This window comes from Homo sapiens, chromosome 2 (genome assembly GCF_000001405.40).
Source record: "Homo sapiens chromosome 2, GRCh38.p14 Primary Assembly".
Classification (NCBI taxonomy): domain Eukaryota; kingdom Metazoa; phylum Chordata; class Mammalia; order Primates; family Hominidae; genus Homo; species Homo sapiens.
This window is the reverse complement of record NC_000002.12, coordinates 23,552,930-23,579,993: the sequence shown is the minus strand read 5'-3', so window position 1 is coordinate 23,579,993 and position 27,064 is coordinate 23,552,930. Positions and strand designations below refer to the sequence as shown.

Sequence of the window (27,064 nt, the reverse complement as noted above, 5' to 3'; positions counted from 1 at the left end):
AGCTTACCAGTGGAATGAACCCAAGGCTGCCTGTCTTTAAGGCCAGAGTTCCTTCTGATTTGTGTTCTGCCTGGCGCAGAACCAGGGGTCACTCACACATGCTCCAGCTGAACTCACCCGCATCAGGGTTGGGGCATGCAGCTGATATTTGGCTGAAATGTAAGACCCATGGGGGCGGGGGTGCAGAGGTGACAGATGAGGCTTGGTGAAGCCAGAAGAGGTGGGATCGCCAAGGGTCTTAAGCCACTTTTCCTTCAGGGCAAGTATGGAGTAACTGCACATTTAGAAAAAAAAGGATGGATGTGACAGAGTGGGCAGATTGGAGGCAGGAAGCTAGAAGAGGCAATTTCTGTCCCCTCAAGTGAGATATGATGGGCCTGGACTATGGCAGTGGAAGTGGGACTGGAGGGAAAAGGGTAGACTCCAGAAATCTACTAAGGTGGACCTCAGCTCACTGATGGGTAGTAATGAGGATGGCGAGGGAGGGAAGAGTCATGTGGCTGCACCTGCTGGGTGGGCGGGAAACCTGAGCCCTGAGCCAGGCATGCAGAAGAAGGCACAGCTTTGAGGCTGAGGATATGGAGCTCCATTCTGGGAATTTTATATCTGAGGTTCTGGCAGATACCTAAGGGCAGACATCTGGGGAAAAGAACTGGGAGTTAGAGTCACAGGCTTCGAAGTAAAAAAGGTCTGAGTTCAAGCCCCGTTTCCATAATACCACGTATGAGCTAGCGCATTGAGCAAGTTCTCAGGCTTTCCAAAACTCAGTTTCCTTGTGTGTAAATGGGCAGAACTGTAGACTTACCACATGGGGTTGCTCTAAGAATGGAGACAAAACATGGAAAGCTCTTGGCACAGGGCCTGGCCCTCCACAAATGGCTTAAAAAACAAAAGAACAATGACAACAAAAACAACCATAACCACAACCACCAACAAACAGAACGGGAGCCGGAGTCCAGGACTGGCGGGGGCACGGGTTCTGGGCTTGAGAACATCAGATAGAGGCGATGATTTCCCATTTCATGGAGGCACAGCAAGTGCTCTGCAAAATGCCTGACTTTGGGATTCCTTTAATTAGCGAGGTGCTACATGCATGCCAATACATGTCTAATTGATCTGTAGACTGTTGAGTACTATTGCCGAGATGCCTGCCACACAAAGGATGAGAGGCAGCCACGGGGCTCCTCTGAAATGAGAATATACGACCGTGGAAAAGAAATATAATTTTCAAAAGTGCACAGCTGTTTTTCAGTAAAGCGAGTGGATTTCCATGACTACACCTTCTACCCACAATTCAACTTGATAATTCAACACATATTTACTGAGCACATAACAGGCAAGCGGGAGGTGCCAGCAATGCAGAACCTAAGAGGACAGGTCTTTTGTCTCAAGGACCTTCATTCTAGAGGGAAAGAGACAGGCAGAGAGGAGGAGGTCACACAATGAAGACGATGGTAATAATAACAGATCATGCTTACAGAGTCTGCTCTGGATGCCAGACACTGATGTAAGTGCTTTGTATTATTAATTCATTTAATTTTCCCCACAAGCCAATGAAATGGATAGTATTATTCTCTCATTTTATAGAAGAGGAAACCAATGTTCTGAGAGGGTAAGCAACTTGCTAAGGTCACACAGTTAGAAAGTGGGAGAGTCCGGATGCAATCTTGGACAGTTTGAATCTAGAGTCTGGGCTCCTAATCCCATCGCTGTGCAGGCCAAGAGGTGTGTTAAGTACTTATGTTGCTGGTGTGCAATGGTACCCCAGCTAGGATTAATGTGGTTGGCTAAGCGACTGACGGTTTCACCTGCATGCAGAGAAACCTCTTGGCCCTGACTGCCTCTCAAATCACAACAGCTTCTTCCTGTCTCTTGGCACCCTCAGGCATGCCATAGGACAGAAGTCAAACTGGAAATCCAGGGACAAACAACACTCCAATGATAGGGAGGAATCGCATAATTTACTGATGCTCAGTGGCTTCAGAATGGCCCACGAGGTCGGCCATGGTCACAGGAAGCTTTCTTCTGCTCCTGGAGTCCCTCGATGGCACAGGGTCAGATCTCAAGGGCATTCCGAACAGAGACAGGATGAGCATCTGCCTGCTTCTGCCCTACTCTCCTTTCAGATTTTCCTTGGAGGCAGCCACCCCCGCTCCAAGCCAAGTTCTGGGCTTTGATAACTAAATGACAGACCTGACTCTGGCCAGGAAGCCCTACTGATCTTTCTTTTCTTTTTTTTTTTTTTGAGATGAAGTTTCGCTCTAGTCACCCAGGCTGGAGTGCAGTGGCATGATCCTGGCTCACTGCAACCTCTGCCTCCCAGGTTCAAGCAATTCTCTTGCCTCAGCCTCCAGAGTAGCTGGGATTACAGGTGCCCAACACCACGCCCAGCTAATTTTTGTATTTTTAGTAGAGACAGGGGTTTCGCCATGTTTGCCAGGCTGGTCTTGAAGTCCTGATCTCAGGTGACCCACCCGCCTCAGCCTCCCGAAGTGTTGAGATTACAGGTGTGAGCCACCGCGCATGGCCCCACCCCCCTTTTATTTAGAGAGTCCTGCTCTGTTGCCCAGGCTGGAGTGCAATGGAGCAATCTCAGCTCACTGCAACCTCCGCCTCCTGGGTTCAGGCGATTCTCCTGCCTCAGCATCCCGAGCAGCTGAGATTAAAGACTCATACCACCATGCCCGGCTATTTCGTGTATTTTTAGTAGAGAAGGGGGTTTCACCATGTTGGCCAGGCTGGTCTCGAACTCCTGACCTCAGGTGATCCGCCCACCTCGGCCTCCCAAAGTGCTGGGATTATAGGCGTGAGCGACTGCACTGGCTCCTACTGGTCTTTCATGGAGCCACGTGGAGACACCAGGTCTGAACTAAAGAAGACGCACTGCAGTGGGGCCGCCTGTGAAGCTCCAGGCTGCCTTCCATCCTGGGGCCTTGAGGATCTGGAGGCACAGCCAGCAGGTGGTGGAGTCCTTCAGGACAGGACAGCAGGACTGAAAAGCCCACCTGAAGATGGGTGGTGGCCGGACACCCTGGCTCTTCCACCAGGGACAAAGCTGCTGGTGCCTGACTGACTATCTGACCGCGGGTCTATCAAGGCTCAAGTCTTTGCCACTGAGGGGGCCAGAGGTGGGTGTGAGTGGTGGTGGGAAGGCTGCTGCCAACTCAGATGCCACCAGAGTTCCAGCGACTGGAGGCGAGGGACACAGAATATCTGGACTTGGGAAGATTTTGGAGGAAAAACGCACAGTCCATTGCTGGACGCGGCGGTTACTAATTTCTGCTCGGTGCTCATTTTACAAAGCCATCGGCCGTGCCAGATGCAGACTTCCCCTGTGGTCCGGTGAGTGGTCAGATCAATGGGGCCCCATCAGCCCGGTGAGGGAACTGCTGGGATCTCAAAAATGGATAATCCCAAATTCCAAGCACCAGTTTCTTCCTCAATTATTTACAAGGAACCCGATGTGGTACATGGAACCTAATTCAGAACGCCTTTTTAATGTCATTATAACACAATATTCATAACGTTCCCTTCTAATCTCAGCAGATGACAAGTTGCCACTATTGAATTCCCATTAATATGAGTTATGGGTACAATATATTTTGCTCAATATCATCTCCTCAGCCTAATATCGTGGAAGAATAAAACTCACACGCTCAGCATATTTCGTTTTTTTTTTTTTTTTTTTTGAGATAGAGTCTTGCTCTGTTGCCCAGGCTGGAGTGCAATGGTGCTATCTTGGCTCACTGCAACCTCTGCCTCCTGGGTTCAAGCGATTCTCCTGCTTCAGCCTCCCAAGCAGCTGAGATTACAGGTGCCAGCCACCACGCCCAGCTAATTTTCACATTTTTACTAGAGACGGCGTTTCACTATGTTGGTCAGGCTGGTCTCAAACTCCTGACCTCAGGTGATCCACCCGCCTCGGCCTCCCAAGGTGTTGGGACTCCAGGCGTGAGCCACTGGGCGCGGCCCCCCTCAGCATATTTCTAATGGAAGAGGCGATGGTGACGCAGTATAGCTGAGGCCTCACTTTCAGCCCAGCTCTTGCGGGTGCTAGAGGAATTGACCACAAACGTGCTCCCCATTGCTCTGGCATCCACCAGGGAGTCTATCTGCCAGGCTCTGTGCTCCTGGCTGGGTGGAGGTTCCTGCGCCGGGTGGAGTGGGCAGGTTCTGGAGCTCCGGTGGGTGAGCTGCTGGGGCCTGCATCTTTTCCCCTCTCTCTCTCCTCCTCTATCACTTTCTTCTCAGGATCAAACTCACCTTCAAAGCAGGGGCTGTTTCTGCCCTGAGGCAGGCCTGTGTCTCCACATTGCCAGCAGCATCATAAAAAGGCCGTGAACCCAGTTCTGGGGTTCTGTGACCCTGGGCATGATACCACCTCCCAAGGTTATTTAATGAGGATAGTTACGGCCCCAACCTCATGCAATTGTGAGACTGGGGAGGGTTCACAGGCAAAAACACTTGGAGCCGTGGCTGGTTCCCAGTGAGCACTCAATAAATGTCAGTGATGGTGACAATGACAATGATGATGCTGGCAGCAACCCCAAGGACACATCCTAGGTCCTGGCTGGCTGGCAGTCCAGACTTGCTTCTTAGAATGGTTGCTGACTGCACAGGGTTAAAGTGTACACTTGTGCCAGGCGCATATTTCTAGCCCAGAGCTGGGCTCTGGTGGGCTTGATGCTGGTGAGACATATAACCTGCCTCTGAATATGGATAGCTAAGGCCTCACCTTCGGCTCCGCTCTCTGGGGTGCTAGAGAAATGGACCACAAAAACGCTCCTCCACGGCTCTGGTGTCCACCACAACCCTCTTTCTTAAGGGCCTGACCCGCCCACTGTGCTTGGCAGTAAACTTGCGGCCGGCCAGGCAGCTCCGAGCCTGCAGAGCTGCTGCTGTTGGGGGAGGAGCAAATGGGAGAGGGGAGAGGCTGTCTACCCAGATCAGGTTACCTGGTGAGTCCTGATGGGGGTCCTCAGCCGTGCTGACTCCACATTTTCCCAGGAACCTTCCCTGGGGGCTGGGCCACCCTCCCACCCATTCCTCAGGAGTCCTTCCTTGTAACCGGCCCAGCACACACTGGTCTGCATGAAGACCCATCATCTGATGGGCTTCTGTTCTGCTCCCTGTGACCGACACCCCCATTTCTCTTCATCAAGGAAATGGCGTGGTGGGTCAGCTGTCCCTGAATTTATGCTCAGACATTGCTTCTCTCTTCCCATGGTGGGTATTCATTCATTCATTATTCTTTGAGTTTTCTTTCTTTTCCACTGTGGTAAAATATGCTAACATAAAATTTGCCATTTTCCCCATTTTCAAGCGTACAGTTTAGTGGCATTCACTGCAGTCACAGTGCCATGTGACTGTCACCACTATTTCCAAAGCTTTTGTATCATCCCAAACAGAAACTCTACCCATTAAGCAAAACCTCCCTGTCCCTTCCCTCCACGCCAGCCACTGGTAACCTCTAACCTACCTTTTGTCTCCACGAACCAGGGCATTTATTTTAATAAAGCGCGTTCACCCAGCTGTTTCATTTAGACCCCACAACAGCCCGGTGAGGTGGACATTCTTGTGCACAGCTTGTAGATAAGGAAACAGTCTCAGAGAGCTTCGGCGTTCCACCTTAAAGTCATTCAGCCGGTCAAGTACGAACATGGGTCCTGACCGCCACCTCCTGACTCCAGCCTAGGGTGCTTTTCATCACTCCTAGCAGCCCCCTCAAATAGGGTCTCTCCTTCTCCATCCCAGGAAAGATCTCATGGGAACAGGGCTTGAGATGAAAACCATAACCACAGTGACCTTTTCCTTCTTCCCTCTCCTCCTCCAAAGTGGCGCTGAGCTCACAGGGAAGACAGTGGCAAATCGTGGCTGCTCTGCCCCCAACATACACAAACATCCTGCCAATGATTCTGCTGCACCCCCACTTCCCAGCCCAGGTTCAAATCCACCAAGAACGACCGAGGGACCAGCAAGAGGGAGCTGCTTCCCTGAGCTTGGATATATTCAAGGCCTGCCCAGCAACACCTGCAGATGGTCCTGATGGCCGTGACTGCCCTTCTGCGAAGGAACTGGGCCAACACCTCTGAAAGCGGGGGCTGGAGTGCAAACACTGGCCATGCACTATGTCTTGGGGGCAAAACAAGAAACCCTCAGAAAGAAAGAGAGGCCGGGGCTTTAAGGCCCAACGGTCCCCAAGCATCATGCACCGGAGTGCTATCTGTACCACCCCACCTGGCTGTTAAGGAAAAACGGTCGCCTGATCAGACAAAAAATGAAGAGGACTGCAGCTGGCTGTTTATGAGGTCTGGGGCTGGACCATGCGATCCTTGTACCTTTTGATCCTGACATTTGTTGGTTGTTTCAAACCCTGATGAGCAAAACTGTTCTGTGGGGAGTCTGTGGCTGCACCTTCCGGTCGTGTCGCCAGCACTAGGGAAGGATATGCCTCGAACCTGTACGCAGCCAGCTGCTCATCCAACCAATTTCACCAGGGTTGTCCTGGACTGGGCCTACCCAGAGCTCTAGGTGATGAATCCCACTCTGCTGAGTGATCTGGGGCAAGTTCCTTAGTCTTTCTCATCTCTGAAGTGGTGCTAATAATAATTACTCGGAGAGTTATAATGAGGATTTAAAAAGTTCACATTGGTAAAGTACTTAGAACAGTGCCTGCAACAAAGTAATTACTAGATGAGTGCCTTAAATAAAATAAATAAATGCAAAAAGCTGCAGAGAATTACAGGCAAGTCAGAGTAAAATCTTGAGAAGATGCAAATATTTGAAGGAAAAGGCTGTGATACTGTGACTGCAAATGCTCCAGGAGAGATGGGAAGGGCACAGTAACTGCAGCAAAAGCTCCAATGATGTAAAATCTGCGCCCCCGACACAGCTTCATCATCCGGGCTCAGGCCCAACTACGAACCCGTGAGGCTTCATGCTAGCTCACCACGGGGTTACGTCTTCATCATCCTCATCACGGCACCCACAGAAATTACTGTTTTTGGGCCGGGCGCGGTGGCTCACGCCTGTAATCCCAGCACTTTGGGAGGCCGAGGCGGGCGGATCACGAGGTCAGGAGATCGAGACCATGGTGAAACCCCGTCTCTACTAAAAATATAAAAAATTAGCCAGGCGCGGAGGCGGGTGCCTGTAGTCCCAGCTACTCAGGAGGCTGAGGCAGAAGAATGGTGTGAACCCGGGAAGCAGAGCTTGCAGTGAGCTGAGATCGTGCCACTGCACTCCAGCCTGGGTGACAGAGCGAGACTCCGTCTCAAAAAAAAAAAAAAAAAAGAAATCACTGTTTTTGGAGGCTGCTCCACTATCTTCTCTCAGGTAGTAGGTAAGTTGAGATGATGTCAAAGGATTCATCTTCCCTAACCCAACAATAGTGGCTAAATAAATTAATAAATATTCATATATATTAATCCATTCATTCTGTCCTCAAACACATATTGAGAGCCTCTATAGACTGGGCATCACGGGCAGCTGACTTTTACAGAGTTCGCTGCCTCATAAGGAGACAAATAAATAAATGGGTAAGTTTCACATAATATTCATGTATTATAATAGGAACGTAAGCAAAAATTATTATAGGAACAAGAGAAACAATAGCAAAAAATGTTTTCCCATCACAGGGGGTGGTAACCTTTAGGCTCTCAGTTGTAGGATGAACAGGAGTTTTTGTGGGCAGGAAAGAGAGGAAATGACAATGCTAGGAAGACGGAGTGGCAGGTGCAAAGGCCCTAGGGCATGAGAGATCTTCCTGTTTGGGAATTTCAGCGTGGCTAAAGTGGGTGGTGGGGTGACGCTCTCCAGTGACCTCCTGGCTCACGTACCAGTGTGTTAGTGGATTTCCCTCAGACAGAAACACAGACCCGCTGACACACAGGAGTGTGGTGGTACTAAGCTGTGTCCTGGTGTTGACATTCAGAGAAGCAACAGATAGCAGGATCCCTGTATGCAGCAGCGAGTGCCGGGATGAATGAATAATAGGACAGGGTACTCACGAAGGTCACTGCAGCTGCTTTTAGCAAACTGACATGCCTGGTGAGGTCTAGGAGAGAGAGGAGGCACCCACGGCTGTTGCTTGGGAGCCGTCTGTGCAATGGAGGCGGTTGTTTTTTATTTCTTTTTCACACAACTAGAAAATGTATTGGCTCACACAAGAAGCCTAGAGCAAAGCAGTACCAAGGCTCTGGTTCAGTATATCTGGAACTCTCTTGTTTTCTCCACTGCTCATGTGCTGGCTTCATCCTCAGGCTTGTAGTAGGAAGGTTATAGCAGTTCAAGGCAACATATCCAGTCACGACAATGTCTGGAGGGAGAAGGATGACTTTTTTTCTTGTGACTCTTCCTTAAAAGCAAGGAAACCTTTTCCAGAAGCCCCAGGCAGGATTACCCTCATATTCTATTCCAGAACTGCCTCACATGACCCTTTCCTAAACTAATGACTGGGAGGGGAGCACGATCACCATGCCTGGCCAGAATCATATTCTCGGCAGGGGCTGGGGTTCACTTTTCTCTGAGCCTGCGAGGTGGTGGATACCTGGAACAGAATGGGGGTTCTGCTGGGAAGGGAGAAGGAGAGAAAATGAACGTTGGGCAAATGGGCAGCAATGCCCACTACAGACCACGAGGTCACTTTGTCAGGCCTGGCTCATTCTCCAGCTCTGCCTGCAGCTGGCACAATCAACTCACCAGGCAGGCTCAGCCCACGCCCCCATTCCTACCTCCATTCCCCGCCATCCTCCAGTCTGAGGGCCACTTCTAACCTGAAGTAGGGATACTTTAAGTAGTAGGTGAAGAATCTGGGTCATGTTCGCCATCAGTCTGGCCCTCAACTGGGTGTGTTTTCATCTGTAAAGAGGCTGTCCTATGCTGAGTCCCCTTGTCCTGCCAGAGAAGCCTCCTGAGGGCAACCTCAAGGCAGGCGCTGTTCTAGAACTGCAAAGATAATCACAGAGACACCAGAGCCATGGCGCAGGGCTGGCCCGAATGCTGGAAGAGCTGGGCAGATCCACTCTGGACAAAGGAGAGAAGCATCACACTGGGCGGCCCTGATCTCACAGCCAGTGGGAAGAGAACCAGCTTGGGATGCTCCAGAGGGATCTGGCCATCCATGAAGCTGGACTCATGGGTTTGTCCTTTCTGCCCCAGGTGACTCTCGGTCATTCAAATCCATGTTTTTAAAATAAAGCAATCAAATCTGAAAGCATGAGCAATTGGGACACCCCAGCAGGATTCCCCCATTCCCTACCCTAGCCGACTGTCTTAGACAAGGGGAGCCCAGGTGGGTTTTGAGTCTCCACCCCTTCAGGTGTGAAAAAAATTAAGAACATGGAATGTGAGTGACTTCCTTTATCCATCCACAGCTCCAACTGGGCCGGGCAAGAGCCCTACCTGCTGGCAACCTGGGGTCGGGGGGCCAAGGGGAAACTGTGTGGCCCTCTAAGGGCAAAGGAAGGCAGGAGTAGGGGACAGAGAACCACAAACTTAACTGGAGCCTTGGGGAGCAGGTCTAGCAAGGGTGACCCCGTGGGTGGCTGAAGAGTGTTTTCTTAAGGGACTGCAACGAACAGCCACCAACAATTTAAGTCAAGGGACAGAAGTGCAGACAACTGGCCTTCTGCTATTGAGACGTGCACCTCGCGCCATTCCCCAGCTCCCGGGACTCCTTTTCACAGTGCCAGAAGGGTACAAAGTATTCACCCACCTTTCCCAGAAAGCAGAGGAGGGGAAGCTAGGCATGCAGATTTTTGCTGCCATCAATAGGAAAGGCATGTGACAGCAGTCTCTGAGTGCATACAGATGCCTGGCCCACTCGCTCTGCTCAGTTCTCAGGGCTCTTTATTTACCAGAGGAAAATGAGGTTTCTTGCCTACGGGTTCTAGAGAGGCAGATTCACAATGAAAATTAATATGCCACGACTAGTTGAGACAGCAGCCGGAGCAGTACACGGAATTCTCCTAAACCTTCCTTTTAGGGCAGCAAATGGAGTGTTGAAACTGACTGGTAATCCATTAAGTTACATCAGCTCCTCTCTGCAGAGACTTCCACGATGCCTCTTCCCCATGGCATTGTGCTTTTCGAAGGCTTAGGCCAGTCTGGCTGGCCGTACCATGAAAGTAAGAAGAACAAGGATAGGGTCAGTCTGGTTTCATTGAGGACATTCCCTCAATGAAATCAAGCTAACTGTGTAGGGGCTGATGGTAGATAAATGATCCTGAGATGCATTAAGCTCTCCTTTTTATGTTTATTTCTTCAAGTTATTTTTAGCATTACAGACGGTTCCTAGTTAACAAATGGGTTGGGTTCTGAAAGTTCATTTGTAATTTGGCTGTTTAGATTTTGGAACATACTTTCCCTATAAAAAAAATGTTATAAATGGTGATGAGACTCCCAGTCTAGTTCTCCAAAGCCTATTTAACCCATAATGTAGCTAAAATACTGTCCTTTCTCAAGGGAAAAAAAAATTGTTTAATTGCAACATGAGTAATTAAACGAAACAGGGAAAACCATTAGAACTGAGTAAGAAGTAGATTTATGTTCATCTTGAGTGATGCTCTTTGCAGAAAACCTAACTTAATTTAAGAAGAGGCCCTTCTGAGGGCTTTTGGGGAACTGCACAGGATTTATCCTATTAGGGAGAAAGAGGCACTAGGCTGTCCGAATCTGTGGTTACCGAATACTGCATCATGTAACAGGCTCCCTTTCCTGATTTCAGACTCATTAGGAAGTCTCCCCATCAGAATTTGTTTTCCCAAGTGGATTTTCACAGGGAGAAAGCCTCTGGTCAAAGTCCCCGAAGGTGGCCTCCTTGGGGTGATTTTTAAATTCCAAATCAGTAGGTTAGCATATGTCCTTCTGCATGTCCTGGGGACAGCAGTGTTCCAGTCCCACTAACCCTGGAGTGGTGACAGGATCAAGCATTGGAGCTTCTGAACTTAGAAGCCAAGGTCAGTGTACCTGCGAGATCCCCTGAGAGCCAACTGGACAGTCTGTTCCCTAGCAGCACAATCCTTGCTGGGTGTCTTCTTTTAAACCTCATTAGCCAGTTCTCTGAGTAGATAGATGTACGTGGGTCCTGAGTGTCCCACATCTATACCAGGCCATATGAGAGAGTAATCCTTTCTGCCTGAGGCATGCCAGCCTTGGCCAGAACTGAAGGGTGAGTGACTATGCCTAAACAAACATGCTGGGAACACTCCATGGGTAGATTGCAAAAATGATCACAATTCTTTCCAACCTTAGATGCCTGTCCCTTTGCAATGTGGTGTTGCAGTATCTCCCATCAAGAGGTGGGGTCTCTTTGCCCACTCCTTGAATCTGGCTTGGCCATGCCTCCTGCTTTGGCCAGTGGGATTTTAGCAAACATGCCTCAGGAAGAGGTTAGAAAAGCATCTGTGCATGGACCTTGCTCTCTTGCTGCTCTTGGTACCCTGAGACCACCAGGTGAATAAGCCTGAGCTAGCTGGATGGAGGATGACAGGCCACAAAGGACTGAGGCACCTTGGCCAACAGTTGGCCAACCACAGGTGTGTGAGACTAACCCTGATCATCCAGCCACTAGCCAACCTACAGCAGACCACAGATAAATGAGACAGCCTAGCAGAGATCAGCTGAGCCAGCCCAGACCAGTACTGACCAGTCAAACCACAGAACCGTTATGGCTTTAAAACCCCAGGTTTTGGGGGTATTATCAAGCAGCAAAAGCTAACTTACATACACAACTGGCTCCAGTCAATGAAGTCTTCTGATATCTTTATTTTGGAATCCGTGTATGGACTTTTTTTTTGCCCAGACTAAGGCTCGTCTCTTACAAGTGTGGCAAAATACATCTTCTTCCCTCTTTTTGCCTCCTTAATCAGAAATTTAAGTTCGGGCCACTCAGCCCAAACTGCAGGCTCTGAAATGGGTGCTTTGAAAATCATGACATTTTTCAATTTTGTACACACTTTGTGACTGACAGGTGGGTTGTAAGTCAATGAATACACAATCAAACTGTAATTGCGACTTAAGGTACAGGCAAAACCCATTAGCTCAGTACTAACATGCACAGGTTGTGTTATCTCACAATGTGTTATTGTTCCCTGATAATTTATCACAAGGCAAATCACAGTTCTTGTTCATGGAGAAAGCAACAGTCTTCTGGATAAAATCACTTGCAGTCTGGAAATTCACGGTGAAAGGGGCTTGAATGATTCTCCCAACTGAGCCCACTCGGCAAGGCAGCCTTCGATTTTCAATGTGAATACAAGAGGAATGAGAGTTCTGTGCAAAAGCATCCTCTCTCCATTCATGGGCCCCAGAAGCACACAACAGGAGGGGCTGCCACATTGGCCCTGCGGTCACTCACATGATCCCCACGGAAATCCCAGATCATCTCCCCCAAGGGGAGCATTCCTCCAGAGAAGCTGGAGCGCATGGGGAAGATATCATCTCCAGCGTTGTCTCTATGATGACACATATCCACCCCGATAGCCCTAAATGCTCATAAATGTCAAAACCCGGGTGTTTTGAGTGTTGACGATGAAGCCTGCAGATTTCATAGCCCCTTTTGGTTCTTCTCGGGCCTCCGACACAGGCGAAGTCGCTCTGCTTCCCAGCTAGATTTATTTTCAAGGGCTTAGCTCTGAGGGACGATGGGAATGTTTCAGCATGAGTGCTCCTGACCACTAGGAAAAAAAGCTCCCAGTACATTTCACAGACATCAGCGAGGATTCTGCAGAGTCCATTCTTTCAGGAACAAAATTGCATTTTATGAAGCCGTCCCTTTTCTGTTTCATCTGTCAAGCAGGTTTGCTGAGAATAATTTAAATTTCATGCAGCAGCAACTGTGGGGCACTGGGGCTTCCCTTCAGGCCCACAAACAGGCCTGGCAGTGGAGTCGCAGTTCTGCTTCTCAGGAGCACCCTGCCCCTGCGGTCCTGACCATTTACAGCCCAGACACACAGTGGTGGGCCAGGGATGGGATGCCATCCCAGTTCCTTAGCATGACCTCATGCCACATCAGACAGGGGATGGGGACAGGCCAATGCACCTTTCTTCAGCCTCCAGCACCAACCACCAGGGGGGGACAGGTTTCCCCGCAAATGTATGAATAACTGGGTAGACCCAGTCAATGGTTTATCTTTCTAAAATTAACTTTTATCGAGTGCTTACCAAATGGCAGGTAGTGTTTTAAGCTTTTCTATGCATATTAATTTAACCAGTTCTCACATCATCCCCATGAGGAGGATTCTATGATTATTCCCAATTCTTAGAGACAAAGAAACTGAGGTTCAGAGACATACTCAGCTTCTAAGTGGCGGAGCTAGGATTCAATCCCAGTGCTGTCAGACTCAAAAGCTTGAAGCTCTTAGCAGTGGTGAAATGCTGAGTTGACATAACCTTTGGCTTAAATTTTCTCACCTATACCACAGAGGTAAATGTGCCCACTTTCTGGCCTGAAATCTCTTGCTTGCTATCAGCTGGGTGGATGAGCAGATGGAAAAGTTACCATAACAATGCTGCAATCATGGTTACCATGGTGAATGCTCTACCAGGCAGCCTGGAGTGGGAAGAGGAGCTGGCCCAGGCTGGTTCTGATTCTAACTCACTGGGTGACCTTGGCAGGCCACATTTTCTTTGGGCCTCACTACTGTGACCTGTAGAATGAGGGGCTGGAGGACGTGGTCACTCTGCTCCTGTTAGGCTCTTGGAACTTGTGTCCTGGGGAGGCTGCTGATTGGTCTGAGCCATGAGTGTGTGTTGCGGGGCTGGGGGAGCCCACCAGACCCTCCCTGTACTTCAGCAGCCCAGGAGTCTGCTTGTCCAACTGGCCTTTCCTCAAGACACGTGAGGAATCTTTAGGCCACAGACAAATGAAGAAGTAGAAAAACCAACTCAGGCCTGAAGGCAGCAGTGACAGAAAGAATTGTCATCACCTCACCGGCCAGCTGCTGGGAGCACAGCCAGCCTCCTCACCCAAAGAGCCTGGCAGAAGCCGGCCCCTGCCTGGGAAGGTGACCAGGCCCACAGGGCTGGGTGGGGAGGGTGATGGCATGGGATGCCCCAGCCCCCAGGGCACGTGATGTTCACCCTGCGCACTGCCTAGCCAAGAGGGGACACTAAGGCCTCACAGTACTGACACTAGTCCCCCAGTCACTTTCCTCAGGGACAGTTGCTGAGTTTCCGAGGGTGGCTCTGGTCCACATGTGGCTCTAGACCCTTCACCCAGGAAGCCCGGTGGATACATTCCAGCAGCTGTCCCCACACTCTGGTGAGCTCGGACACAGCTCTGCTCCTGGCTTCTACCCGGCCAACCTCGCCCACCCACCCCACCATCCACTGGAGTGCAGTTTCAGCTGTTTCCACAATGGGCTTTCCCTAGAGGAAAGGGCGCCACAGCTGAAAAAAGCTTTAAACTCCCTTCCCTTGGTCACCTGGCTGTTACCAGTCTCGGTCTGGAGCCCGCTAGACGGCCTCTTCCCCCCAGCTCCCTCTTGCCTACGGAGCATCTGGAGTCCCAGCCAAGGGGTAGGTTTGAGATGCTCTTTCCTTTCCTTGCTTTCTTGGGGCCTGGCTGCTGTGTCTTATCTGAAGACCTGCCTTTTCCTCTTGGTGAGGTTAGAAAGGAACACCTTTCAGGCTGGGCACGGCGATTCACGTCTGTAATCCCAGCACTTTGGGATGCCAAGGTGGGTGGATCACTTGAGGTCAGGAGTTCAAGACCAGCCTGGCCAACATGGTGAAACCCCATCTCTACTGAAGAAGAAAAAAAAAGGACATGAACACCTTTCCCTAAGAGGGTAGAGCCTTGTCCCATAGGCCTCACCTGGATGACAGTGACAGCGGTGATAGGAGGAGGTCAGCACCAATATGAGACTCGAAATACCACATGCCAGGTTCTGTCTTGTTCTGAGCACTTCACACAGGTTTTAACCCACACAGTCCTCACAACAACTCTGCTCGCAAGTACAACGACCTCTTCCCATTTTACAGAAGTGACGCCCAGAGAGGTTAGGTAACCTGTCCAGGGTCACTCAGATAGCAAGCGGTAGAAGGGAATTCAAATCCAGGCAGTCTGTCTCCAAAGTCTGGCTGTAGCCACTGCACTAGGCCTCCCCTGCCAATAACTTCAGGGGGAGAGACATTCTTGGGTCATCTGGTCACACTGTCCAGGCCACAGATTTGTTATACACAAGGAGCCGTGAGCTCCCCGAGGGCAAGAGCCAGCCAGCTCTTGCCTGCTCAGTAAAGACCCACATTGTTGACCGGGGAAACCGCAAATACCTGGGCCCGGGCCTGCCCATCAGTTGATGTGGTCTTGGCACGGGGTCAGACACATAGGCTAGGGGACAGGCCTCTGGGTGGGCAGGAGCCAGGCTAGAACGGCGGGAAGGCACTGTGGCCCAAATCTGCCAGGGGTGCTCGGGAAGCCAGCACTGCTGTCCTCCCTTCCCCCCACCCAGTGCTCCTGGGCACCAAGGGACCAGGGCTTAATCCGGGGAATCAAACAAGCCCCTGCAGGAAACAGGCCGGGCTGGAGGCAGAATTCAGTTCCTCTGTTGTGACATGCCAAGGAGCGGGCTGTCCTCACAGGAATGAACTTTCGCCCCCTCTCCCCCTCCTGGCCACCCTGCCCAGTCCTTGCCCCAGCTGTTGTTTTCTGTCTGAGACTGGGTTCCCTTCCTCTCATGTGGCTGTGGTTTGGGATCAGGCCAGTCAAGGATGGTGAATATCAAGCCACTCTGGAGCAAAGCGGGAGCTCTGCAGGCAGCACAGCCCTGTGGGGGAGCCCCAGCACCGAGCCCCTCCACTTCATCCCCCAGAGCAGCCCAACACCATCCCTACAAAGGCATGTATCCTTAAAAGGACAGACACTTTCAAGACGGCCTCCGGGCCCAGCCTCTCTCTCCCACCTGGAGCCCCGAGCAGTCGGTTCCAGCGGCTGCCATTCTCCATATGGCCAACAGCTGGCCCTGCAGAGCGCCTGCCAGATGTGGCCAGCAGGTCCAGCGGCTGGCCCTACTGGGCAGAGGTCACTGAGTCAGACCAGCGCTCGGGCTGGCGCCCAGGGGAGGAATGTGTTTGGCTGGCCTGGGGGCAGCGTGCCCAAATAATCCTCCATCTCCTCTCCCCTGTCCAACATTCTTTCCCTCCCCGCCTCAGTGGGGTGGTGTTTTCATAACAGGAAAATAAAATCAATAAGGCACTGCAGCAAGATGTCAGTGCGCTCCGAGCCAGCCTCCAATAGCTCCATTGTCTCAGCCTCTGCCAGGCTCTGTGGCCGGCAACACTCACAGTTATTAATGGGAAGCAGGGCTGAAAGGGAGTTTTGAAAACCAGGAGACAAAGGCGCAGCACACCTGGAGCGCGGCTTTCCAGCACCACAGCCACCTCACAATGGCCGGGCTGGGGCTCCCCGCCTTTAACTTCTCTGGCAACTTTTCTGAAAGCAGGAAAAGAAAAGCCTAGACACACACACATGTGCACACACATACACTCATGCACACACACACGCATGCAGGCACATACACGCATGTACACGGACACTGCCCCAAGGGGGCTCCTGGGAGGCAGCTCCGAATGGCCAGCAGAGGCAAAGGCAGCCTGCACAGCCCCTGCTCGGTGAGGAAGCAGGATGGGGACCGATGGCCTTCCTACCACAGCCATGGCCAGGGGCCCGGCCCTCCAGGACTCAGGCTGCCTGAGGGGCTCCGAGCAGCCAGCACGATGGAGGACGAGCTCAGCCCAAGGCCAAGCAAGAGCCTTGGCAACACTGTTTTCCACATTCCATTCAGCAACACAGGTTGGCCTCTGTTGCCATTCCCAAGGCTGGAGCCACCTCTTCTGAAAGAAACGGGAATGACCTGGCGCTGACATCCCTGAAGCCAGCTGTGGGGACAAGTCCTGGGTCCTCTGCAGAAAGGTCCCACAGCCTTGGACCAGCCCTTAGAAGGCCTACTGAGCCCTTGCTGTGCCTCAGTGTCCTCAACTGTAAGGCAGGGATGATAAAAGTACTGACCTCACCGTGCTGTGGCAAGGCTCAGAAGAGACAACGGATATGAGAACACGAGGCCCAGTGGTTAATAAAGTGTGGGTTTATCACCCTTTATGACTGTTACTGCTTGTCAGTATCTTCTTGCACACCCAAGTTACTGGCACCCCCAGGGATGCTTGCATGGTCTCAATTTATCTATTTAGGAACCCCATATTGCCATCTTGGAGGTCCACTGTTACTTCACTCATTAATAGCATCTAATCAACATGGCATAGGACAATGAGTGGCCTCAGCACCTGCTTGTCTTCCTACAAGTTAGTCACAGAGAAAGACTTCATGGATAATAAAACCCGCATGAATGCTCGCAAACAGTTTCCAGGCCCAGGTCCTGGAAGGACAAGACTCTGGAGGACTCGGGGCGTGGAGCACAGGCTGCCCCACAGGAGCCTGTGGGGCTGGCCTGAGCCTGCAGGGAGGCAGGGCCCCTCTGTCCGGCTCCTGCTCAGAGATGACACCACATCTTACCTTGGTGGTGACCGCAGACGCAGAGCTGGCCACGAGGCTGGTGATGGCCTCGCTGCTGCCGGTGGTGCAGGGAGCAGGAGCTGTAGCCGGGGTGGGCAGCCGGGAGGGCACCACGGGCAGCGGCAGGAGGCCGGGCCGGACGCTGAGGCTGCTGGCTGTGCCGCCACCGGCCCCCGAGGTGACACTGCAGATGCTGGTGGTCCCATGCGTCCCGTTGACGCTCCATTCGCGGCGGTCCCAGCCCACCCGGTAATCTCTTTCGAAGCGGCTATGGTGCCGGGACATCTCGGTGGGCCGAGGCGGCTTCTCACAGGGAAACAGAGCCCGGACCTGTGGTGACAGGGTGGAGAGAAGGGTGATTTAGGACTGGAGCAGGCAGCGACAACTGACAGCATCCATGAAGCCCCTTCTCTGGGTTCAATAACAGGCCTTCAAACATTAGCTCATTTCAGAGTCACGCTAGCCCACAAAGCATGGATCATTAATTAGCCCCACTTCACAGACAAGGAATACACAATTTGCCCAGGATCACGTGGCCAAAGTAAGTAGGCAGGATTTGAACCCAGTCACAGTTAAAAGTGATACTGTTTGTTCTGCCACATCTCACTGCCCTGAATGACACAAATGTGCATATTTTAATTATGGATGGGACTTTATCCCCTCCCACCCCACCGTGAAAAAAGAGCCGTGAACTCCTCAGGACGTGTTTTCCTCCAACACGTGATAGGATGCGGCCACCCACGTGTGCAGACTCACTTTATAGTGGACAAAGCCCTTTACATAAATCTCTCTTCCTCCTACAGTAGCCTGTGAGGCGGCAGGGCATGGATGGTTCCCAGTTGAGGGTCGAGGGACCTCACTGAGAATAAGTTATCCCTTGAGGTTCGAGTACTAGAAAGTGATAAAGAGTCCAGGATCCCCAGCCTTTAGATCCTAGCTAAATGCACAACTCAAGTCGCAAAGGGTGTTAGCCTCCAGGAGTTGAGTTCCCTTTCATAATCACAGCCCTATGATTTGATCTCGGGCGGCATCAGAGACCCGGAGTACCCTGGCCTCTGTTAACCAGACTATCTCCCACACAGCTCTCCTGAGCCTCTGAGCATAAGGCCCTTCCATGTTGTCATGGAGACCTGGACACACCATGATACTTGGAAGGGCTTCTGAATCACCAAAGATTGCATTTTGCTCAGTATTACCATGACTTGCCTGGTTCCCTGCCCATCCAGGGCCTGGTGTTACTCTCGGTCAAGAACGCTGTAAAGACGCAGGGGAAGCTGTCGGTCTCAGAGGCCATGGAGAGGCAGAGACAGAGGGGAGAGGGCATGGCAGTGCCAGGGCACAAGTGGTGGTGGGTTAGGGTAGGGGTCTGCATCACACCCACAGCCCTGGGCATGGCTCAGGCACAGCTTGGTTGCCTTTGGCCTTTTCCATTCTCCAACTGTTTTCCAGTCTGGGGGTGAGTCCCCGGAGGTCCGGGTTCCCAGCTCCTTTTCCTATCCTGCCAGTCCAGCTCAGCCCTGGGGAGGCACCCTGGAATTGTTGGCCAGTGGACAGACGGGCCACTTTATTTTAAAAATATCTATCTATAAAGCCTGTTCTTACTGCAGACTTTGCACATCCAGACCTAGTTGTCAACTTCTAGTGCCATGGAGCCAGGGCCTGTGCCCAACCCAAGCAGCCTCCTACCCATGTTCTACTTGCATGCTGGCCTGTGCCCTGGTGGCCATCATCCCCTCTGCCAGGCACACTGGGCAGACCTGAACCCACCCTGCAGCCCAGGTGAAGCCTGCAGCCCCGCCTGAAACAGAGCTGACCATAACTTCTTCAGCTGGATGTGGTGTCACTGTTTATTTCACCATTATGCTTTCTGGCTTACACCATGACACAAAAATTCTTTTTAAAAAGTCTATCCAGGCTGGATGCAGTGGCCTACACCTGTAATCCTAGCACTTTGGGAGGCCAAGGCAGGCGGATCACAAGGGCAAGAGATCCAGACCATCTTGGCCAACACAGTGAAACCCCATCTCTACTAAAAACACTAAAATTAGTTGGGAGTGGCAGCACGTGCCTGTAGTCCCAGCTACTCAGGAGGCTGAGGCAGGAGAATCACTTGAACTTGGGAGGCAGAGGTTGCAGTGAGCTGAGATCGCGATATTGCACTCCAGCCTGTCAACAGAGCAAGACTCCGTCTCAAAAAAAAAAAAAAAAAAAAAAAAAAGCCTATCCAATATTACATGGTTAAAAAATAAAAATCCATTCCCTTTTGATCTCCCCACATAAACTTTTTCGGCTGAACTTCTTGATGGCATTGTCTAAACTTAGCTCCAGTTTCCTCGTCCTGTTCACTCTGTGACCTGCTCCGCTGTGGCCTTCGCCCTGGCCACTCCATGGGAACTGTTCTCATTGAAGTCATGGGTGACCTACTCGCTAAATCCAAGGGGACATTTATGCCGCTGTCCTCAACTTCCCTCACTTGCGACGTGGCTGATCTTCCTTGCTTTCCGGAACCCTCCTCTGCAGTTTCTGTGATGCCAGCCCTCTCCCAGCCCTCCGCCTCCCTCTCGGCTGCTCCTTCTCAGTCTCCTTGGCGGGCTCCTCTTCCTCAGCTCATTCTTAAAAAGCTGGGGCTCCTCCGGGTTCCAGATCTCCTCCTCCTCTTCTCCCCGGATGATCTCATCCCTCCATCCCCTCTTTCTGGATAACTCCCAAGGCTACCTTTGCAGCTCTCCTCTCTCTTAAGCACCACCCCCACCTCCCTGCAGCCTGCCGCACACCTTCCCCCAGCTGTTCCACAGGTACCTAAACGCCCAAAGTTGCTAAATTAGCGCAATGTTCCTTCGCCCAAACACCCATCCTCAGGAATTCCCTCTCTCAGAGAAAGCCGCCTCTATCTCCTCATCTCCATTCCCCTGTTCGACAGCCAGGTCTTAGATTCCTCTGCCTCAGTTGCTGTCAAATCTACCCCCTTCTCCATCTGCAGCCACGACCTTCCATCACTGTCTCCCAGTGTCTCCTTATTTCAGTTCGCCTGCCTGCCTGCCTGCCCGCCCCCAGTCTTGCCCTTCTCAGCCATTCTCTACCCAACTGCCCACAGGAGTTTTGCAAAGGGCAAATATGATCATGACACTTTACTTTCCTGCTTTAAATCCTGTCCATCAATATAAGGTTCCAACTCTTCGTGGTGGCCCAGAAGAGGATCTGGGCGGGCTCCCTTTTCTAGCATCCCCTCTCATTCATCCCGTCCTACCCCAGAGACCATGGCCCATCATTCCAAATGCCTTATGGTTTCTGAAGCCTCATGTCCCCTTTCAGCTCAGGGTCCAAGTCCACGCTGCTCTTTTGCCAGGAATGGCTTCCGACCCTCCCCCGGCTACAGCCTATGACCCACCCAATTCAGGCACCAATTCTTCTAGAACCCTGAACTTACTTTTCCCCTTCTGGGTCAGGTGAGAGACTCTCATCCAGTCCCCTGAGCAAATGGTGCCCGCCCTCCCTGCAGCCACGGCTGCTGTCTATCTGCTACCTTGAGAACAGGGTTTGGGTCCTCATTCTCTGTGTGACCCCGGCAACTTGAACAGTGCCTGGCAAAGAAGGGTGTTCAGTACCTGTGTGCTGAATGAATCAATAAACTAATGCTTGTTTTTTCTTCATTGCTGAGCACTTCCAGAGAGGACAAACACATTTGTGTGAAGAGAAAATCTCAGACACAGAAAGAAACGCTGAGTCTCCTGACTGGAAGTTCCACGTAGGTGCTGGAGTAAGAAAACATCCTACCTTAGCCTGGGCGTGGGGGCTCACGCCTGTAATCCCAGAACTTTGGGAGGCCAAGGTGGGAGGATCACTTGAGGCCAGGAGTTCAAGAGCAGCCTGGCCTACATGGTGAAACCCCATTTCTACCAAAAAAATACGAAAATTAGCCAGGCATGGTGGTGTGCATCTGTAATCCCAGCTACTCAGGAAGCTGAGGCATGAGAATCACTTGAACCCGGGAGGTGGAGGTTGCAGTAAGCCGAGATCGTGCCACTGCACGCCAGCCTGGGTGACAGAGTGAGACCAAAGAAAAAAAAAAAAAGAGAAAATGTCTTACAGTCCTAGTAAATCAGACCTCGAACCTTGAAGGACAGGCCTGAATGGAGAATATCTGCATGTCGAGGTCAGCTGGGGCTCACAGTGTAGACGCCTCTCCCAAGGTTCACCTGCCAACAAGGGGCTCGTGATCATCACTGCCTCAGGGACACTGCATCCCTAGGGTTGGATCCTAATGTGGCAGAGAGGATGTTATGTATTCACCACAGTATGTCCTCTTTCTGGGCACAAGGAGGAACTCTCCCAGCTGCCACTGCAGTTAAGTTGGGCTCCTGTGTCTGGAGTCTGGCGGATAGGATGGGTGGGGAGGTGATGGAGACCACTTCCAGACCTGGCCCTTTGCAAACATCTATGACCCTCAGTTCCCTTCGCTCGTCATGGCAACCTTGGAGGCCACATGTTCCAGATGGTGCCACCATCTGATGGAAGAGCGTTTCCCTACGCACACTGGATGTTGCATACTGGGGGCGTGAATCTTTGTTGTGATAAGGCACTGAAATTGGCAGTCTATGTGTTACCTAAGCACAGCCTAGCCTGGCCTGACTGATGTGATAAATCAGTCCCTACCTTCCTACAAAACAACACAACCTCACATATCGCCAAAGAAGCCATCTCCTTCCAGCTGGGGAGGATGGAGGTGAGGAGGGTACGCACTGAGGGCGGCCAGCAACCCGGCCCCTCTGAGACATGCCTAGATGTGCTTGGGATCAGGTCAAAGGGGTCTCCTAGGCCCCAGTAAAACCTCTCCACTCTCTGCCTTGGGGACCACCTGCTGGGCCATGCCATGCCCGCGCCTTACAGTTCTGGTGAATGAAAGCAAAGCCCAGGCCCCAGCACCCCGCACCTCCCACCACTCCCGTCCCCCACCCTGATGCTCAGCTCCTCAAGTCTCCTTAAAATGCCAGGCAGGAGATGGAGACTCCGGGCCTGGAGCCTGAAATCTAGTTGCAGCCTCATTACGTGTACTCAAAACAAAGGTCAAGAATTTGCATGCCAGCCTTTCGGTGAGACTTCATTCCTCAATTTAATTTCCCCTTTCAAACGTCATGAAAGAAAGGAGTTGCACGGTTTACCCTGAGTGAGACGGCACAGTTAAAGGACCAAAGGTGGCAACTTAAATATTTTCTGCTGGGCACCGAGCCAGTGTGTCACAAGGTCCCATGGGCATACATGTGTGCCCAGAGCGGTGTTGAGGGAGGCATCAGGAAATGCTAGTTGTGGCAGAAGGAGGCCTGGAATGGATGAGGTACGTTAGACGAGACTGGTCAAGCAATTACCGACAAAACACATCACAAAGCTTCCTTGTCAAGGTGAGCCCCCTTTCCTGGCAGGCTGCCCGTGAACTGCCAGAGCCTGGCACAGGGCCCTTCACCAAGGGGGACAGAGCAGGCTGAGCAGCAGCCATCCCTTTGTATGGAGGGGACCGTTTACAAAGACACTAGGACTCGAACCTGGGTGGGGTTAGTGCTTTGCTAGCACCTGTTTAAATTACATGCACATGTGAAGAAAATGCTCTAGAGGCTAGAAAAATCTTGTATTCACGGGTGGAAATAGGCCACGCTGAGGTGCAGGGTAGAGACAGTTTGGTGCTAGTCGTGGGTGAAATGTGAAAGGCCTCACAGGTATTTTATGTGCCAACTTGGCTCTGGCCTTTGGGATCTTGCAGGCAGCAAAGCCGATGCTGGCCAGGAGACGGGAGGGGAGGAGGGCAGAACCCTGAAGTCTTTCTGTTTTTTTTTTTTTGAGATGGAGTCTTGCTCTGTCACCCAGGCTGGAGTGCAGTGATGCAATCTCAGCTCACCGCAACCTCCAACTCCCAGGTTCAAGCGATTCTCCTGCCTCAGCCTCCTGCGTATTACAGGATTACAGGCACCCATCACCACACCCGCTAATTTTTGTATTTTTTTTGTTTTTTTTTTGGTAGAAATGGGGTTTCGCCATTTTGGCCAGGTTGGTCTCAAACTCCTGGCCTCAAGTGATCCGCCCACTTTGGCCTCTCAAAGTGCTGGGATTACAGGTGTGAGCCACCATGCCTGGCCTCCTGAAGTCTCCCCTGTGCACAGAGCCTGCCAGTCAACACCACGCCTGCGCCTCCGCGAGGGGGGTCATCTTCGTAGCAGTCTGGGACAGACATCAGGCTTCGGTTTCCCAGCTCTGAGCCCAGATTCAAGTCTGGAGCCTGGACACTGCACACACAACTTAGGAAGCCAGCTCAGGCTGTCAGGCTCCCCGCTGCCTTCTCTGTGATGCACCTCCCCACCTCCAGGGAGCAGAGAGGGGAAGTGGAAGACCTCCTCACAGAACCGGAGCAAATGTGAACAAGGGAGGGAACACGTCACTGGGAGCTCCTGACAGGCAGAAGCACTTCTTGGAATGTTCGGTCATTGATCCTGCTGCAATCCAGTCCCCCCTTCAGAGCCACATGCTGGCGTCTCAATGCACACAGGTGCACCCCAAACCTTAGGACAAGGTCCCCCAGCATCACCAAATGCAGCAATGCCACATCCACCAGCTCTGGGGAAAATCCCAATGGTCAAGTGCAACTGCCTCACAATTCGGATCATCTCTCAGAGGAGGTGGGGCAGAGGCCAGCGCTGGGGTGTGCCCAACAGCATCCCCGGCCCTGCCAGAAAGGTCTTTCCCTCCCATCACTTATCTCCAGGAGACGGTGAAGGGTGTATTCCTGCCATCTCCCTACTTCTGAGGGATGAGGCGTGGGCTCACCTGCTGACTCACCTGCTCACCAAAAAGTGTCCTCCACCTGACAGAGCCCTGACCTCACACCTCCACAGACGAACCTCCCCTCAGGCTGCCCGTTCCTCGGGAATGAATGGAAACTGGCCACTTCCTTTCCTGTTGGCACATGGGGCCAAATCTTCAGCATGGTCAGCATCATGGGGTGCCAGAGCACCTGGGAGAGGCAGGAATGAGGGATGGGCCACCCTGTCCCCAGGGGCTCCTTCTGTTCCCTTGCAGGAGGCAGGTGGGTCTTAACTAGGATCAAAATAAAGATGACAAAGTAGCCTCAGCCCCTGACTTTTGGCTCCCTCCTAAGGCTTCTCCCACTGCCTGTCCCTAGAACCCTCATGTCTCAACAGGAACTGGGCAGGTTTACTGGGATGAGGAAAAAGACACAGTCAAATCCGAAGCAGTGTGTGTGGCCTGGTGTCTGCAAACATGCACAGCTCCCGAGGCCCTCTGTGCTAGGTCAGCCAGGATCCTGTAGGGTGGTCTCACTCAGGGACACTGGGAGACACAAGTTGAGGGGGGGGGGGAGGTCATCCTCCATAAATACCCACGACACAGGGGACCTCGTGTCACTAGCCCCAGGGCCTGCCTTGATGGAAGAGCTTCTCCCTGTGGCTCAAGTGCCCTCATGTCCCAGGCCCAGGCTTGCAAAAGGCTTGGGCTACCTGGGGCCTGAGGATATTGCAGGAAGGAAATCCTGGTGCCCCAGGCCCAGACTGTGTTTCTAATTGCTCACCAGCTGGTGTGTTGGGGGGCGGTGTCGGACTCCTGGACACTTGCTGGAGATCGGATCGGCAGCCCTGCCACGCAGACCCACCTGGAAAACCCTCACCATGAATAATTCATGAGTAAATAATTAAGAGTCGCCATGAGCCTCTGTGTGTTTGCATTGTCCATGTGGGGCTGGAGCAGAGGGAACAGTGTCCAGCAGCCCTCAGCCCTGGGCCCGGAGAGTGCCTGCTCAGGAACAGGATGCTTCGTGCACCTGAGCTCATGGGCGGGATGGAGGCCATCTGTGTCCGGTGACACACAGTATTCTGGCTGCTGGTGGCGGCCCACACATATTAACATGCACCATGTGTACACACTGTACACAGGATCACAGGTGGCTAATGACCCTTTCCTCGTTCCTATCATTAAGACACGCCGAAGGAGTGGGCGGCCGGCTGTGAGGGCCCCGAAGGCATGATTAATCCACAGGAAGGCAGGGGACCCGCGCTGTCTCCAGATAGGGAAGCCGAGGTGGCTGGCTGAGGAATGAGCCTCGGCCCGGCCGGCCCCGATCAGAAAATGTATGATTGCCTCATTTGGGGGAGACGTGCTGCCAAGTCGATTGGAACAGTCTGTGCTTGTCTTTATTATTTTAGTTTCCCTTTCTGCATCTTTTAGCCTTTCTTCTGGAGCAAAATACTAAACAGCAGCCAGAACACCATCTTGGCAAATGCAACACAAAGGAACTCTCTGGGTGTTTCTGGAGAGGCGGCTTGGCCACGACTTGACGTGGATGTTAGCGGGAGGTGGGGATGCCCTTCGGAAATGCCTCCCTGCCTCCTGGGGCTGCTCCAGCCCCCAGTGACCCCCAGCCCCATGGAGCCCCCATTAGCTCAGAAGTCTTGCTTCTGGCTGAGGCTAGGGGTGAGTCCCACACTGGCCTCCTCTGCTGGATGCCTTCTTTGATGCGCCCTCTCTTCTCAGAGCCCATAGAAGCCAGACTCAAAAGGCCTAGGACCCCAGCGACGGACTGGCATGTTCTACTCCCTGTGTGAGTTCTGATCCCGTCCCTAAAGACAGGGCCACCTTTCCCCCTTCGTTTCCTCCACTGGAGCTGCCCGAGCACAGGGCTGGGCATCCGGGGCAGGGGGCTCAGGGAACATTTGGCAGACCAAAGTGACCCTCCCAGCACGGGGCACATGGCGGGGCTGGGACTAGGCTGAGAAGAGTGACAGGTGGGGCCAAAATGTATGGAGGCCCCCCCATCAAGGTCCGTCTGCATTTATATTGCCCTGAAAGAGATGAGTCCTTAAATTACGCCTCACCATCTAGCCCTGGCCCTTCACACAGCCTCTGAGAGTGACATATTCCTCAGGGGGTGAGGTGTTCGGCACCTCCAAGTGGACATGAAATGTGGGGTTTGCAGGGGCCACGTGTAGGTGCCAGCCTGGACCCAAGGCCTCACATTTAAATCTTCTGAGGCAGCAGAAACCCAGGAAACTCTGGAGTGCCCCAGGCTGATGCCAGCCTTCTCCTGTTCCACTCTAGGATGAGGAACCTAAGGTGTGGATTTATTTTTAGCTCCTTTTCTTAAAATATCAAGGCCCCAGGTGAACTGAAAGGTTCTCGTTGCCACATTTCCACTCCCATCCTGGCCCCCAGTCCTCACCAGCCACCTCGCCATCAGGCCCCACTCAGCCAGGGCCAGTGTGCAGACCACCTAACCAGGTCCTGTTGCTTTGCAGCCAGAAGTTTCCAGCAGCATCTGCTGCAGGGTCCAGGGTCTGAACCCAAATGAGCAGCATCTACCAGGATCTCCAGGCTGGGGAAAGAGGGGAGGCAGGGATTTGACAAGTCCCATTAGAAACCAGAGCCGTGGCCGGGAGTGGTGGCTCATGCCTATAATCCCAGCACTTTGGGAGGCCGAGGTGGGTGGATCACTTGAGGTCAGGAGTTCGAGACCAGCCTGGCCCACATGGTGAAACCACGTCTCTACTAAAAATACAA

General features: G+C 52.3%; 1 protein-coding gene across 2 annotated transcripts in view, besides 3 other annotated features; it reads right to left on the bottom strand.

Annotated features, from left to right (window-relative positions):
• The window catches only part of KLHL29 (kelch like family member 29), a 323,428-nt gene that overhangs the window by 128,613 nt on the left and 167,751 nt on the right, over positions 1-27,064 (bottom strand). For both annotated transcript variants that reach the window (NM_052920.2, XM_006711929.4), the window contains one exon: positions 17,513-17,842. In NM_052920.2, coding sequence (NP_443152.1) covers positions 17,513-17,797 — 285 coding nt within the window. In that variant the 5' untranslated portion in view covers positions 17,798-17,842. The remainder of the gene's footprint in view (positions 1-17,512; positions 17,843-27,064) is intronic.
• Positions 15,600-15,961: a silencer, noted in NCBI's record as "fragment chr2:23786903-23787264 (GRCh37/hg19 assembly coordinates)". NCBI's record gives its function as "represses an EF-1alpha promoter that drives an FKBP-Casp9 reporter gene in an ReSE screen in phorbol 12-myristate 13-acetate-treated (for megakaryocytic differentiation) K562 erythroleukemia cells {active_cell/tissue: K562(+PMA)}" and the evidence as "EXISTENCE:reporter gene assay evidence [ECO:0000049][PMID:32094911]".
• Positions 24,508-25,447: an enhancer, noted in NCBI's record as "H3K27ac-H3K4me1 hESC enhancer chr2:23777417-23778356 (GRCh37/hg19 assembly coordinates)". NCBI's record gives its function as "activates a minimal SCP1, AML or CMV promoter by ChIP-STARR-seq in primed H9 embryonic stem cells {active_cell/tissue: H9 hESC(primed)}" and the evidence as "EXISTENCE:reporter gene assay evidence [ECO:0000049][PMID:30033119]".
• Positions 25,448-26,387: an enhancer, noted in NCBI's record as "H3K27ac-H3K4me1 hESC enhancer chr2:23776477-23777416 (GRCh37/hg19 assembly coordinates)". NCBI's record gives its function as "activates a minimal SCP1, AML or CMV promoter by ChIP-STARR-seq in primed H9 embryonic stem cells {active_cell/tissue: H9 hESC(primed)}" and the evidence as "EXISTENCE:reporter gene assay evidence [ECO:0000049][PMID:30033119]".